The 16,752-nt window shown below is 42.3% G+C and overlaps 1 protein-coding gene across 3 annotated transcripts in view; it reads right to left on the reverse strand.

Annotated features, from left to right (window-relative positions):
* Positions 1-16,752, reverse strand: part of ACOT9 (acyl-CoA thioesterase 9) — a 42,222-nt gene that overhangs the window by 20,238 nt on the left and 5,232 nt on the right. The window contains exons 2-8 of one of the 3 annotated variants that reach the window (NM_001037171.2): positions 14,627-14,724; positions 13,049-13,075; positions 11,880-11,925; positions 9,524-9,694; positions 9,235-9,272; positions 1,378-1,461; positions 589-692 (exon numbers count right to left, since the gene is read on the reverse strand). In NM_001037171.2, the coding sequence (NP_001032248.1) occupies positions 589-692; positions 1,378-1,461; positions 9,235-9,272; positions 9,524-9,694; positions 11,880-11,925; positions 13,049-13,075; positions 14,627-14,724 (568 nt within the window). The remainder of the gene's footprint in view (positions 1-588; positions 693-1,377; positions 1,462-9,234; positions 9,273-9,523; positions 9,695-11,879; positions 11,926-13,048; positions 13,076-14,626; positions 14,725-16,752) is intronic. The other 2 variants (NM_001033583.3, NM_001330259.2) reach the window with 2 other exon arrangements.

A 16,752-nucleotide genomic window follows, 5' to 3' on the forward strand; every position in this document is an offset into this window, starting at 1 on the left:
ATATTGGCCAGGCTGGTCTCAAACTCCTGGCCTCAAGTGATCTGCCCACCTCAGCCTCCCAACGTGGTGGGATTACAGGCGTGAGCCACTGCACCCAGCCCCATCTCTATTTTTTTAAAAAAATGGTTGTTATACTGTATTGTGTTTTATTTATATTATTTTTCACTGTTTTTTTCCAAACATTTTCAATCCATGGTTGGTTGAATCTGTGGATGTGAAATCTACAGACACAGAGGGCCAACTGTACAGCAGTCCTGGGAAATGAATACAGTAATCAATTCCATTCACTCCTACCATAACACAGACTTCTGTGAAATTCTCCTAGGCAGAACCAGAAACAAACACCTTAACATGGACTTGTATATGATTAGAAATAAATATTAAATATAAACACCAAATAGTACGTCAGGCTTTGTCCACAAGGAGGATATTAATAACCCACCATCCATATGACATGAGCTTTCAACTGTTTTTCTAGAAGCAGTGAGCAACATACCTGTCTACAGATACATAGGTAAATAAGCTTTTCTTGCATGGAGACTAGCTGGTTTTACTTAAACAGTGGACAATCTTCAGGCGCATATTTACCTGGAACATTTGCATCTTCACTTCCATGGATGTCTTCCCGACCCAGCTAACATGGCCACTGAACTTAATGTCCTGTTCTGGGCTCAAGCTCTTCTTACACATATCTGCAAAACAGAAGTCAATCAGGGTCCAAGTCATACCAAAAATTTTCTGTTCTGTAAATATGAACAATTAGAAATTATGGCAAATTCCACTACATTTCTTTTTTGTCTTCAAAACTAAAATAACTTTTTTGACACGCAGAAGAAATCTACATGTGTTTTTGAAAAATGTAGAAAAAGCAAAGAATATAAAAAATAAAACTGGAATCATGCAAAACCCACCTAATTATAATAAATATCTTGGTATACAGCATTCTAGACATTTTCATATGCATATATACATTAAAATTCCCCATAAAGGGCTAGGCACGGTGGCTCATGCCTGTAATCCCAGCACTTTGGGAGGCCGAGGCAGGTGGATCACCTGAGGTCAGGAGTTTGAGACCAGCCTGGCCGACATGGTGTAATCCCATCTCTACTAAAAATACAAAAATTAGCCGGGCGTGGTGGCACATGCCTGTAATCTCAGCTACTCGGGAGGCTGAGGCAGGAGAATTGCTTGAACCTGGGAGGCGAAGGTTGCAGTGAGCCAAGATCGTGCCATTACACTCCGGCCTGGGTGACAAGAGCAAAACTCCGTCTCAAAAAAAAAAAAAATTCCCATAAAAGGAGAGTACGTCCTGTAATCTCAATAATATCTTGAAATTACTAAGAATTCTAAGTATGCATAGAAAATGATATCACTTACCAATCTTATCCACCAGGGCTGTAACTATCGATAAAGGAGACATCTTGGCGGAGTGGATTTTGTTGTGCATGTAACAAATAAGAACTGCAGGGAAACAGGAGTGTACCAAATTTTAAAAAGGCAGAATTATTTCCCAACATTTAAAATTTCCTCCCTGAGATCCATGAAAAGCCTTGTCTCGCTTGGAAGATCCAGCCCCTAATATTCCATTGATCATCTTATCCTAGGATCAAACACTTTTATAAATTGAAGGATTTGGGAGATCCTCCAATCTGACTGCCCCCTCAATTTTAAGATTTGGTGAAGAAATCAAAGCCCGAAGCAAGCCCAGACCCACCAGACAGCTTGTTACCACTCCACAGAGACTCAGTGCCCAAATCAGAGTAAGAACTCAGCACATGAGTCTGACAGTATCAAACATCTTCAGGAAAGAGAAACAAAGCACAAGGACTTGGCTACCTGTTTTCCTCCTGGCTTTGTCCTAATTAATCATGAAACAATTATTTCACTCAGTTATCCCTCCTTCCCCATAACACCCTTGACTCCTATACCACCCTGTGGTTATCTGTATACTTTCCATATTTTAACAAGCATTTATATGTGCCATGCATGGTTCATGCACCTTACAGATATCAACTCATTTAAAGTCGTATAATTATACGTTGGGCCGGGCGCGGCGGCTCAGCCTGTAATCCCAGCACTTTGGGAGGCCAAGGCAGGCGGATCACGAGGTCGAGAGATCGAGACCATCCTGGCTGACATGGTGAAACCCCATGTCTACTAAAAATACAAAAATTAGCCGGGCGTGGTGGCGTCCCAGTTACTCAGGAGGCTGAGGCAGGAGAATCAATTGAACCCAGGAGGCAGAGGTTGCAGTGAGCCGAGATCGTACCACTGCACTCCAGCCTGGCAACAGAGCAAGACTGTCTCAAAAAAAAAAAAAAAAAAAAAAAAGTTGTATGATTATATGTTGATTGGCTCCCTGCTTCCCCCATGATCCATTCAAATTTGTATCACAAACTCTCAGACAAGATATGTGGCTCAATAAATACTTGTTGAGTAAGTGTAAATCCTTCCATCTATGCACCTGCTAAAGGACACACTGGGGGAATGATAGGCTAAAGGCAATAAACTCCATTTAAAAGTCTTTGTCCAGCAAAGAAATCAGATGGCTCCAACCTATGGCAACAGGAGTAGAAATGAAAAGACTATGAGTTAAGAAGAAGGTAAACCTGAGAAGACTTGAATAAATTCAGTTTTCTAGCTTGCATAGGTAAGCGTGGTGTACTAGTCACTGAAAAAGAGAAGAGAGACTGGGCACAGTGGCTCATGCCTGTAATCCCAACACTTTTAGAGGCGAAGGCAGGAAGATCACTTGAGCCTAGGAGTTCAAGACCAGCCCAGGCAACACAGCAGAGACTCCATCTCTACCAAAAACACAAAAGTTAGCCAGGTGTGGTGGCACATGCCTGTAGTCCCAGCTACTCGGGAGATAGGTAGGAGGATTGCTTGAACCCAGGAGGTCAAGACTGTAGTTAGCCATGATCATGCCGCTACACTCCAGCCTGAACAACAGAGTAAGACTCTGTCTCAAAATAAAAAGAGAATATAGGAAGAAAAGAATGGGCCATTTTCAATGCGTTGAATTTGAAGAGCCTATGGCACATCCAAATGAAGGTATTGGGGAGGGCACAGTTGTTCACACCTGTAATCCTAGGGCTTTGCAAGGCCATAGCAGGAGGATCACGTGAGCCCAGAGCTTGAGACTAGCCTGGGCAACAGAGTGAGACCCCTGTCTCTACAAAAAACTTTAAAAATTAGGCCAGGCATGGTGGATCAAGCCTGTAATCCCAGCACTTTGGAAGACAGAGGCAGATGGATCACTTGAGCCCAGGAGTTCCAGACCAGCCCAGGCAACATGGTGAGATCCCGTCTCTACAGTAAAATACAAAAATTAGCCAGGCATGGTGGCGTGTGCCTGTGGTCCCAGCTACTTGAGAGGCTAAGATGGGAGGATGCTTGAGCCCGAGATGTCGAGGATACAGTGAGTGGTGATCGCACCACTGGACTCCACCCTGGGTGACAGAGCAAGACCCTATTCCAAAAAAACAAAACAAATTAGCCAGGCATGGTGCAGTGTGCCTATAGTCCCAGCTACTCAGGAGGCTGAGGCAGAAGGAACACTTGAGCCCGCAAGTTTAAGGTTGCAGTAGGCTATGATTTTACCACTGCACTACAGCCCGGGCAACAGAGTGAGACTGTCTCTAAAAAAGAAAAATAAATCTAGTAGCTAAGAGGAAAAATTGATTGAAACTCAGAAAAGCAGGCCAGAAAATGTAGCTTTGTAAGTATTCAGCATACTGATAGCAACTGAAACACTGGGAGTAGATGAGTTTATAGAGAATCTGCAACGTCAACCCAAAAAAGGGCAGAAGGGAAGGGTAGAGAAGAGACGGAGGAAAATGTAATATAAATGTAGTTTTTACCACTGATCAGTACACTTAAAAATGATAAAGATGAGCCAGGCGCGGTGGCTCACACCTGTAATCCCAGCACTTTGGGAGGCCGAGGTGGGGGGATCACCTGAAGTCACGAGTTTGAGACCAGCCTGACCAACATGGCAAAACCCCATCTCTACTAAAGATACAAAAATTAGCTGGGCGTTGTGGTAGATGCCTGTAATCCCAGCTACGTCGAAAGCTGAGGCAGGAGAACTGCTCGAACTCGAGAGGCAGAGGTTACAGTGAGCCGAGATGGTGCCACTGCACTCCAGTCTAGGTGACAGAGTGAGACTCTGTCTCAAAAAAAAAAAAAAAAAAAGATAAAGATGGTAAATTTTATATTTTAACCTCAACTGAAAAAATAGGGCTGGGCGCAGTGGCTCACACCTGTAATCCCAACACTTTGGGAGGCCGAGGTGGGGGGATCCCTTGAGTCCAGCAGTTTGGGACCAGCCTGGGCAACATGGCAGACCTTGTCTCTACTAAAAATCAAAAAAATTAGCTGGGCATGGTGGTGTGCACCCGTAGTCCCAGCTACTCAGGAGGCTAAGGCAGGAGGACTGCTTGAGCCAGGAGGTCAAGGCTACAGTGAGCTGTGATCACGCCACTGCACTCCAGCCTGGGTGACAGAGTGAGACCCTGTCTCAAAAACTAAATAAATAATTTTAAAAGATTTAACAATTTTATTGTTAAATTTTAAAATGCCTTAAAATTTAATTAATATGAACAAATTATAAAATTCAAAAGGCCGGGCGCAGTGGCTCACGTCTGTAATCCCAGCACTTTGGGAGGCCGAGGCGAGTGGATCACCTGAGGTCAGAAGTTCGAGACCAGCCCGGCCAACATGGTGAAACCCCGTCTCTACTAAAGATACAAAAAATTAGCCGGGCGTGGTGGTGTGTGCCTGTTATCCCAGCTACATGGGAGGCTGAGGCAGGAGAATCCCTTGAACCCGGGAGATGGAGGATGCAGTGAGCTGAGATAGCGCCATTGCACTCCAGCCTGGGCAACAAGAGCGAAACTACAGCTCAAAAAAAATAAATAAACAAAATAAAATAAAATAAATTCAAAAAATAATCAGTTTTTGAAAGGGCAGAAGACAAAACCCTGGGGATAACCTACATTTAAGGGATCAACAGAAAAAGAGGAACCTACAAAGGGGACTACAAAAGAGCAGCCAGAGAAGCAGAAGGAAATGTCACCAAAGCCCAAGGATGGGCTGGACGATATAAGAAGCCACAAAGGGGTCAGGTCAGCCCTGAAAAGTATCCATTCAACTGTGCAGTAAAGGGGCCAATGGCGAGCTTGGCAAGAGCAGATTCAATGGCGTGGAGGAGCAGAAGCCGGAACACAGCCGACCGGGAAATGTTTAATTAACAGGAAGTTAGCATAAAGAGGCAATGAGAGCAGGTGATTTTCTAGGTTCTTTTCAGAAAGTGAGCTATGAAGTAAGGAAGAAAGTGTGAGGTGTTATAAGGAAAGAGGATTTTTTACTTATCTTTTTTTTTTTTTTTGACTCAGAGCCTCACTCTGTCACCCAGGCTGGAATGCAGTGGTGCGATCTCAGCTCACTGCAGCCTCCACCTCCCGGGTTCAAGCCATTCTCCTGCCTCAACCTCCTGAGTAGTTGGGACTACAGGCACATGCCACTACACCCGGCTAATTTTTGTGTTTTTGAGACAGAGTCTCGCTCTGTTGTCCAGGCTGGAGTCTATCTCAGCTCACTGCAACCTCTGCCTCCCAGGCTCAAGCGATTCTCGTGCCTCAGCCTCCCGAGTAGCTGGGATTACAGGCACGCACCACCACGCCCGGCTACTTTTTGTAGTTTTAGTAGAGACGGGGTTTCACCATATTGCCCAGGCTGGTCTCGAACTCCTGGCCTCAAGTGATCCACCCGCCTCGGCCTCCCAAACTACTGGGATTACAGGCGTAAGCCACCCTGCCCGGCCTATTTTTCATTTTAAGATGGAAGAACCTTGAATATGTTTATAACTTGAGGGAAAAGTGAAGTTGAGAAAAGGCTCAGGAAATGAGGGAGAAAGCCAAGTGATAAGGCAGTTCCTTGAAGAAATAGAAGGAATAGAATCAAGTGAACAGGTTAAAGGGACTGGCCATCAACAGAAGTTAATGAGCAAGAAAGAGGGTAGTGGCAGGGGAGTTTGTATATATAAGGACACCTAAGCAAACCAAAGTCAATCAGGCTGTAGTGCAGTGGTGTCACCACAGCTCACTGCAGCCTCGACTTCCTGGGCTGAAGCAATCCTCCCACCTCAGTCTTCTGAGTAGCTGGAACTACTAGTGCATGCCACCATGCCCAGCTAATTTTTTGGGTTTTGTAGAGATGGGGACTCACTATGTTTCCCAGGCTGGTCTCAAAGTCTTGGCCTCAAGCGATCCTCCTGCCTCGATCTCCCAAAGTGCAAGGATTACAGGTGTGAGCCACTGTGCCCAGCCAAGAATTTTTAACTGGGTTTATTTAATCTAGAGAAAAGTAGTTGCTAGGCGTAAGCTTAACAACAAGCTTGTATCTATATTTTAAAAGTTAGGGCCTGGCATGGTGGCTCACACCTGTAATCCCAGCACTTTGGGAGGCCGAGGCAGGCAGATCACCTGAGGTCAGGAGTTTGAGACCAGACTGGCCAACATGGTGAAACCCCGTCTCTACTAAAAATACAAAAATTAGCCAGATGTGATGGCGGGTGCCTGTAATCCCAGCTGTTCAGGAGGCTGAGGCAGGAGAATCGCCTGAACCCAGAGGCAGAAGATGCAATGAGCCAAGATCGGACCACTCTACTCCAGGCCGGGCAACAAGAGTGAGACTCTGTCTCAAAAAAAAAAAAAAAGGCCAGGCACGGCGGCTCACACCTGTAATCAGAACTTTAGGAGGCTGAGGCAGGAAGATCCTTTGAGCCCAGGAGTTCACGAAAAACCTGGGCAACACAGGGAGACCCCATCTCTATAAAAAAATAGTTTTTTAAACAATATATTAGAACCCTTTTTCAGACCCTTTCCCAACCATTCAGCCCAAATATCATTAGGTGGGAGCAAGTAAGGTAACCTAGAGTAGGGTGCTGGCATCCAAGCACGGTGAGGAGGACATCCTTGCAGAGAGGCTGCAAGAGTGATGGCAGAGCATGTCACAGCTTGAGCACAATGAAGAGGGTGAGCCTGCAGAGGGGGACCTGGTGTGGGGTACCAGAGCCCAGGTAAGGTGAGGGGAGCATCCATGATGCATGAGGGGTGGCAGCCATAGGAAATTGGTCACATACAGCGGAACTGATTAAATAAGTCAATATATTAAGGAGAATGGAGCCAGTTGGAGAAGGGAATTACAAATATGGAAAGGAAGGAAATGAGAATGAACCCCGTGGTGGCTGAACTGGAATTGGAGCTATCAGTGCGATCCCATGGTTTTCATACATACATCTGTACAAAGATTTAGAAATAACATATATGTACGTATATGCACATATATTTCCCAGCTCCTCCACTAAGAGGGTATGGGAGCAGTGATACCCAGGAATAATGACCACTCCCAACGCACATATCTCCATTTCAAAATATCATCCTCCACTTCAAAATATCATTCTCCATTTCAAAAAAGGGCTCCTTGGAGATGTGGGTGATTCTAGGACTGGGGCAGGGAAAAGCATAAGATGAGCCTAGAATATTTTATTGTGCCAGAAAGTGAGAAAGTGCTCAAAGAATAATGGGGACACATCAAAGAAAACCACACAGAAGCTAGCCTGAAGGGACTGGGACACTCCTGGGATCATGTGAACATCAAATAGATGATAGTAACATATTATAGTCCATTCAGTAACATAGGAATTCCTGAGTCCATACTGATTTAAAAATAATGAATTGAAAGTCTGATGAAGGTCTCAAAGTTACCTGCCACCCCCCCCCACATAAGGTACTTATTAATTACAAAGGGGAAAAGAGTAACTTTACAGTGAAGAACAGTGGCAGACATCATCGTCATCCAGTAAGCAAAGCTGATATCATCAGTAATGAGACAAATCAAAACCATGCACCACTTGATAGGATACAATAAGAACAGAGCATCCCTTCTGTGACATTCCTGCCAGAGATGCATAACCCAAAGCTAATCATGAGGAAGCACCACACAGACCCAAATTGAGGGACAATACACAAAAGAACCATGTCAAAGTCACGAAAGTCAAAGAAAGATTAAGGAACTAGTCCTGACATGACAATTAAATCAACATATGATTCAGAACTGGATCCTTCTGCTATGAAGGACCACTGGCAAAAGTTGAATGGGACCTGAGGATTAGACAGTATGACACATCAGTGTTAATTTCCTGATTTTTTATGGTTGTTTTGTAGTTATGTAGAAGAATGTCCTTGTTTGTAGGAAAGACATATTCAAATATTTGGGGGTGATGTGGCATCATGTCAGCCACTTATTCTCACATAATTCAGGGACAAAAAATTTTTTTCTTTTTTATTTTTGAGACGGAGTCTCACTCTGTCGCCCAGGCTGGAGTGCAGTGGCGCGATCTCGGCTCAATGCAACCTCCACCTCCCAGGTTCAAGTGATTCTCCTGCCTCAGCCTCCTGAATAGCTGGGACTACAGGCGTATGCCACCACGCCTGGCTAATTTTTTGTATTTTTAGTAGAGATGGGGTTTCACCATGTTAGCCAGGATGGTCTCGATCTCCTGACCTTGTGATCTGCCTGCCTCAGCCTCCCAAAGTGCTGGGATTATAGGCGTGAGCCACCGCGCCTGGCCACAGAAAAATTCTTTATACTGTATTTGCAACTTTTCTGTAAGTTTAAGACTTTCTTTTTTTAAAGTTACTAGTAAGAAAGATTATTCAGACTATACCTCCATTAAATAGGAATCTACATTTATAAGAAAAAAATTATGACAATTCAGAAGTAGTAGATGCCATTTTTTTTTTTTTTTTTTGGAGATGGAGTTTCACTCTTGTTACCCAGGCTGTAGTGCAATGGCACGATCTCAGCTCACCGCAACCTCTGCCTCCCAGGTTCAAGTGATTCTCTTGCCTCAGCCTCCCAAGTAGCTGGGATTACGGCGCCCACCAACACAACTGGCTAATTTTGTATTTTTAGTAGAGACGGGGTTTCTCCATGTTGGTCAGGCTGGTCTCAAACTCCCAACCTCAAGTGATCCGCCCGCCTCAGCCTCCCAAAGTGCTGGGATTACAGGCATGAGCCACCACGCCCGGCCGATGTCCTTCTTTTTTTGTGCACTTTAGAATATCATCATCTGTGCAGGTTAAAGAATAAAAGAGCCCTTTCCAGTCACAGAATTCAATGTATATCTGTAGGTATCTATTAGAAAGACTAAAATAATACCAGTACCTCCCAAGCTGTCAAGATCCTCAAGAATCCTGCCAAATCTGTGAAATAAAGCAAACAGTGAATTAAATGCAAATCATGTTGGTCTCCCTTTAAAAATAAATAACACACTTCAGGGTGATGAAAATGTTCTAAAATTGACTGTGGTGATGGATGCACAACTCTCTAAATATATCAAAACCATGGAACTGTACACTTTAAACAGGCGAATTGTATGGTGTGTGAATTATATTTCAAAATTGTTATAAAACAAGGAAATAAAAACAAATACATAAAAATAGCACTGTGTTACCTTACGGTGTTTTGAACAGTCAAATATTTCTCTCGTAATTCAGGCTCACTGCCCAAAGGCAAGAGAACTTCAATATAACTGTCCTTCATTCTCCTAGGAGGCAGTCCATCCTGTGATTTAGCCAAGAAACTATGAAGTAATTTCCTTTCTTCCATTGCCTTCACATGGTCTCTGAGAAGAAAGGATGCAGGATTCATAAAACAAGAGCAGTTCTAGCCCACAATTCCAGTGGTACACAGGCCAGTAAGATACCATCAAAGGAGGAAAAAGAAGGTCTGGGCCTACTTTCACCTTCTCTTCCTTCCCTCCCTTCCCACCTGCCACTTGGTGAAATTGATCATTTCCGGTATCATTTCTCAAGCTTAAAAACATTCTTAAGGCCAGGTGCAGTGTCTCACGCCTGTAATCCCAGCATTTTGGGAGGCCAAGGCGGGTGGATCACACGAGGTCAGGGGTTCAAGACCAGCCTGGCCAACATGGCAAAACTCCGTCTCTACTAAAAATACAAAAAATTAGCCAGGTGTGGTGGTGGGCACCTGTAATCCCAGCTACTTGGTAGGCTGAGGCAGGAGAATTGCTTGAACGTGGGAGGCGGAGGTTGCAATGAGCCAAGATCACACCACTGCACTCCAGCCTGGGCAACAGAGCAAGACTGTCTCAAAAAAAAAAAAAAAAAAGAAAACTTAAAACTGATATAGATATACCCAAATGAGCCATATATTCACCCTTATCAAAAAGTTTACTCAAAGACCAGAATATTTGAAATTAAATTAAAAATTTAGAGAGATGGACAAAATAGTATATATATATACATATAAATATATATGCTAAAGAATGGCTTGGCCACTCTACTTTATATTCCCATTTCTCACCTGACAGTTCTCGGATTCTTTGAGCCCCAGTTCTCTCTCTCTCTCTGCCTTCAATTTCAGGAAAGAGAGACAGAGGAGGGAAAATGGACTATATCCAAAGGAAGTATGGAAGGCAGAACAAAAGGTAAAGAAGAACATAACATGAAAAGGAGACAGAAAGGGAAGAAAAAGAAGAGAAGATTAAGGTGAAAGAGAAAAGAAAGACAAGGGGATACGGAACGACAATGTTGATAAGAACATTAGCTAAGATGTCTTTCTAAGCTTAACTTATAAAGTATTATTTCCAGAAATGTTTACCCTACAAAAACTACAGGAGATAGAGGAATGAGTTAAATGACACCAGTAAATCCAGAATGTGGAACATTCTCAAGACAAATGGCTTGGCCTCCTTAAAGTCAAGCTCATGGGGGAAGAATAGGGGAAGGACGACTGTCCATTACTCTAGATTAGGGAAGACTAAAGAGTCATAACCACCAGATGCAACATGCAATCCTTTATTGGATCTTGATGTTTTTTAAACAGCTATAAAAACATTTTTGTTAAAAGGAGTAATCTATTACACAAAATGGTAACAGTTGAGGAAATGTGACTATGGATGAGTAATATACTAGCAAGGAATTGCTGTCAATTTGATTACATGAGAGAATGTCTTATTTGTTGGAGATAAGCGAAGGCTGGTTTTATAAAATGTTTACTGAAGATGCACGCTGAAGTGTCATGGTGTCTATAATTTACTTAGAAATGGTTCAGGCAATATGTGTATATTGGAAAATTTGGCAAAATATTAATAAGTATGGAATCCAGGTGGTGGGTACACAGGTATTCATTCTTTCTACCTTTTAGTAAAGTGAAATTTTTCATATAAAGAATTTAAAAATAAGTCATTAGATAATTTCTATACCAACAATAGATTATTATATATCTAGTGATCACTCGTGTTTTTTCTATCTCATTTTAGCCTCAAAATTATGTACACCAAGAGGGATATGATCCTACTTTACAACAAGGAAATACTGCGAGAAAGAGAAAGACAATATGGGAGGCCTGACTAATTTTGAACTGACAAGAAGCAATAAAGGAGTCAAGTTGCATGAAACAGAGAAACTTAGCGACTTGGGTTCAAGTCCCAAACCCTGACATTTAATCATTCAATCTCTGAGTTTCAGTTTCATGTGTAAAAAAAGGAACAGGAACATATGTCGTAAGCACGTCACAAGTTTTGTTATGAGAATCAGTGAAGTAATATACACCTAAATGCACTTTGAAAATGCAGAATATACGTAAATCATCTTCTTTCATGACAATGAGGTGTCATCTGATGAGTATGTTGAAATGTTGACCTTCTCCCCCAAGCAAAATACTTCTCAACCTATCTCTGAACATAGGGCTCCCCATCCCCACTGTGAGACCATCAACTGAGCCTAAATACAGTGTAGTATAATACCTTGGGGATGAAAAGAATGAATGAAAACAAAGATGCATACCTCCAGTTTGTGGATGCTCCTACTATCTCCCGCAACTTATCTCGAACTGAAACAAAAATAAAGAGGTCATTCCATGAAACAAAGAAATATGAGAAACGGATTATGGCAATGAGCTCAAGAACTACAAAAAGCAATTCATGCACTCAAAAGATTTAAAGATCCATAGATTTCCATTTAATGCCACAACAAACAGCTCAGGGACAGGATCAAGCCTCTGCTCCCTAAAAACCTGAAAGAACTATACTGTCTCTTTAAAGGTGCACAAATGAATACCTTTGTGCCAATCACTAGGGTTTATATAAACAAACAAAAAAGGATAACTTCAATTATTCACTTAATGGGGCTGTATCAGTGTTAGCCAGTAAGAGCCATTATGATGGAGATATGAACAGGATTCCCACCTATCTTCTTTTTTGTTGTTTTTTTTGAGATGGTCTCACTCTGTCACCCAGGCTAGAGTTCGGTGGCACAATCTCGGCTCACTGCATCCTCCACCTCCCGGGTTCAGGCGATTCTCCTGCCTCAGTCTCCCAAGTAGCTGGGATTACAGGCGCTGTGCCACCACACCCGGCTAATTTTTGTAGTTTTGTTTTGTTTTGTTTTGTTTGAGACAGAGTTTCGCTCTTGTTGCCCAGCCTGGAGTGCAATAGCACGATCTCAGCTCACTGCAACCTCCGCCTCCCGGGTTCAAGTGATTCTCCTGCCTCAGCCTCCCGAGTAGCTGGGATTGCAGGCAGGCATCACCATGCCCTGCTAATTTTGTATTTTTAGTAGAGATGGGGTTTCACTATGTTGGTCAGGCTGGTCTTGAACTCCTGACCTCAGGTGATCCGCCTGCCTCGGCCTCCCAAAGTGCTGGGATTACAGGTGTGAGCCACTGCGCCTGGCCCCCACCTATCTTCTTATACGCAGTAATAGATCAAATTACTTAGTTCAGAGACTAATACTAATATCCAAATCTGAGTCTCATTATAATTAATTTCTCATATATTTATAGTCTCCTGGTTGTTAGAAAAGTTTAAGCCAGAAAAATGAAGCAAAGACTTACATCAAGCTAAGGCAAAGAATGCAATTTTAGTTAATGCCACTGCCCAAAAGTGCAAGCGTATATTAGTGCTTACAAAATTTAAGCTCTTAAAAGAAAAGCTGATACTAATTACCACACACACCATGATTCACATGTATAGATGAACATGCTATATGAATAAAGGGAAAATCAATTAGAGAACCAGCAATAATTCAAAACTAAAAGATAAATCTGTAGTATTTCAAATACTGTGTTGAGTTTATGTGTTTTTCCTAGCACTTCAAAATATACATTCCAGTTATAGGAAATTAACTATAGCAATCCTCAGTCCTTCAATAACTAACTGATCAAAACCAAATATAATTTATATGAACATGCATTTTAACTTTCATGAAAAATGGTTGATTTTTCTATCAAACAATTTTGGATACACCATAAATTTGATGTATAATTACAACTAAATGTTAGAGAACTGCAAACAACAACCATTAGTAACTTAGTCTTATTTCTGATTTTTTCCTCCTAAGTTCCTTGAATAAAAGAATGGATGGGGCCGAGGTGGGTGAATCATGAGGTCAGGAGTTCAAGACCAGCCTGGCCAAGATGGTGAAACCCCGTCTCTACTAAAAATACAAAGATTAGCCTGGCATGGTGGGCACCTGTAATCCCAGCTACTCAGGAGGCTGAGGCAGAGAATCACTTGAACCTGGGAGGCGGAGGTTGCAGTGAGCCAAGATCCCACCACTGCACTCCAGCCTATGCGACAGAGTGAGACTTCATCTCAAAAAAAAAAAAAAAAAAAAAAGGCTCACACCTGTAATCCCAGCACTTTGGGAGGCCAAGACAGGCAGATTACTTGAGGCCAGGAGTTCAAGACCAGCCTGGCCAACGTGGCGAAACTCCATCTCTCCTAAAAATACAAAAATTAGTTGGGCGTGGTGGAGCATGCCTGTAATCCTAGCTACTAGGGAGGCAGAGGTTGCAGTGAGCCGAGATCCTGCCACTGCACTCCAGCCTGGGTGACAGAGCAAGACTCCATCCCAAAAAAAAAAAAAAAAAAAAAAAAAAAAAAGAATGGACAGAAAGTACCTCAAATAGTACATGGACTACTGATGCTCACTGACATAAAATAATTACTACTAGCTTAATCAGTGTAAGAAGAGAGGCAAGTATTGAGGGCCAAGAAGGAAAAACTTTTTAATTTTACTTACATATATATTTATATACACACATAATATAAATTTATTTGGACCCTTTAAAGAAGCCGCAATTTTAATTATAACGAATACTCCTAGTTTAATAAAGACAATCCATAGTTTACGTATCATATTGGTAATTGAAATTAACTTTAATTAAGCATGGACTAACAGGATCCCTCGAACATAACTATGGACTAGGAGTGTTTACTTGATACAACTAATGGGCCCATCTCTTTTTTTCCATGCCTTCAGAACCTACACACAGGAAGTGGAAATCACCTAACTAAAAGAGCTCAGTCCTCAAGGCTCCCAGGAACAATAGTTCAAAATCTGAATGTGACTTCTATCTGAAGCTATTAATATTATGCAGCTATCCTGGTCATTTTGTCAATGAAATGTTTATGAAAGATCTACCTTTAATATGCCTCATTTGCTCTAAACTATCACTCTATATACCTTTCAAATAAAAGTAAAACAAGGTTTTTCACCACATAGGCATCAAACAGAGACACCATGCTTGCCTTCATGAATGTGGAAGATTCCCTGTTTCTTGGGGTTCTGGGGTCCTTGAGTCAGTCCTCTTCCAGGAGTAAGCTGCCCTTTGCCCAAGGCACAAAGCCTATAAAACAAGATAAAACACAGAGCAGATCCCACAGCTTCTTCCCTGGCAACCCTAAAGACCTACCCTCCTCCCAGAGTATCTGGCCATATCACCCTTAGTATATATTGTCTTGTAGGAGTCTGTAGCTGTTTCACAAGTATATGTATGTTTTCATGAGGCTATTCCATAAATCATCTCTCCCACTAGAGTAAACATTTCTTGAGAGCAGAGACCAATTAGGTAATTATCTACAAAATAAATAAAAGACGGCAACTAGGTTTAATGCATTTATTATTGGTCTTTCTATTTTATTAGTTTCAGAAGTCCATAATCGATTTAGTAAACAACTGAGCAAACTCATTATGAACAATTTATTCTGTTCTTTATTATCGCACCATATTTCCTCAATAAATAAGATAAACCCAATTATAAAGTAAACTTTGAAAATTGAATTAGCCCTTTCCAGATGCAAAGAAAGTATTTATTTAACTTACGCAGAAATTTTCTAGAGTCCCAACACAATAAAATAAAAGCTATCTACTGGCCACGGTGGCACAGGCCTGTAATCCCAGCACTTTGGGAGGCTGAGGCAGGTAGACAGGTTGAGCCCAGGAGTTCAAGACCAGCCTGGGCAACATGGCAAAACCCCATCTCTACAAAAAATACAAAAATTAGCCGGGCGTGGTGGCATGCACCTGTGGTCCCAGCTACTCAAGAGGCTCAGATGGGAGGATCACTTGAACCCAGGAGGTCGAGGCTGCAGTGAGCCAAGATTGTACCACTGCACTCCAGCCTAGGCAACAGAGTGAGACCCTGCTTCAAAAAAATAAAAAATAAAAGCTGTCTACCTAAATGTGCCTAACCTACTCTCCCAAAATAAGTTGATTTTGGTTCATTATTGCTTAAGCATTGACTCCTAATCACACAATATTATGTCAGGGGTAGCACACAGGCAATATCACAGATTAATAAACTGATCTGTGAGAGCACAGTTGAAGAAGGCAAGGCACTGAATAGGTTAAGAACCCCGCAGGCCAGGCGTGGTGGCTCATGCCTGTAATCCCAGCACTTTGAGAAGCCAAGGCAGGTGGATCACTTGAGGTCAGGAGTTCGAGACCAGCCTGGCCAACATGGTGAAACACTGTCTGTACTAAAAATCCAAAAATTAGCCGGGTGTGGTGGCAGGCACCTGTAATCCCAGCTACTTGTGAGGCTGAGGCAGGAGAATCGCTTGAACCCAGGAGATGGAGGTTGCAGTGAGCCGAGAACACACCACTATACTCCAGCCTGGGCAACAGAGCAAGACTCTGTCTCAAAACAAAAACAAAAATAAAACAAACAAACAAAAAAAACCCAGAACCCCAGATACTGTCACTCATTCCAGTTCAATTTACTAGTAAATTCTCACCACCTAATGTGGGAATAAGCAATGACTAACAACAAAAAAAAGAGATATTTTTAGTTTTCTTTACAGACCAAGCTACTATAGGTTTCTCTTCTGAATGACAGCATTCAGAGAAAGCCTCTCAGTATTTACAGTATTCTGTAAAATCTACATGCAGTTTTGACACTGTGCTGTTAGAACAAATCCTTATCCTTTCACCAAGTCAAATCATCTAATTGCACAGAACACAGAAATATGAGCACATACTCATTGGCTAATTGAACTTCTTAGTCACCAGTCATCTTATTTGGTTGCAATACAATCCCTGCTGGTCCACTAAGACCAAAATTCTTGCTGGAGGGTTTGGGGTTTTGGATCTGTTTATTCTTCAATCACACAGCTAACAAGCCTCTCTCTTAAATATTTTAGCTTCACTTTTTCACGATAAATATTCAATTCCTGTACTTTCGTATACAGATTAATATTTGTCTTTTTTTTTTTTTTTAGACAGAGTCTCGCTCTGTCGCCCAGGCTGGAGTGCAGTGGTGCGATCTCGGCTCACTGCAAGCTCTGCCTCCCGGGTTCACGCCATTCTCCTGCCTCAACCTCCCGAGTAGCTGGGACTACAGGCGCCGCCACCGCGCCCGGCTAATTTTTTGTAT

This window comes from Homo sapiens, chromosome X, assembly GCF_000001405.40.
Source record: "Homo sapiens chromosome X, GRCh38.p14 Primary Assembly".
Lineage (NCBI taxonomy): Eukaryota > Metazoa > Chordata > Mammalia > Primates > Hominidae > Homo > Homo sapiens.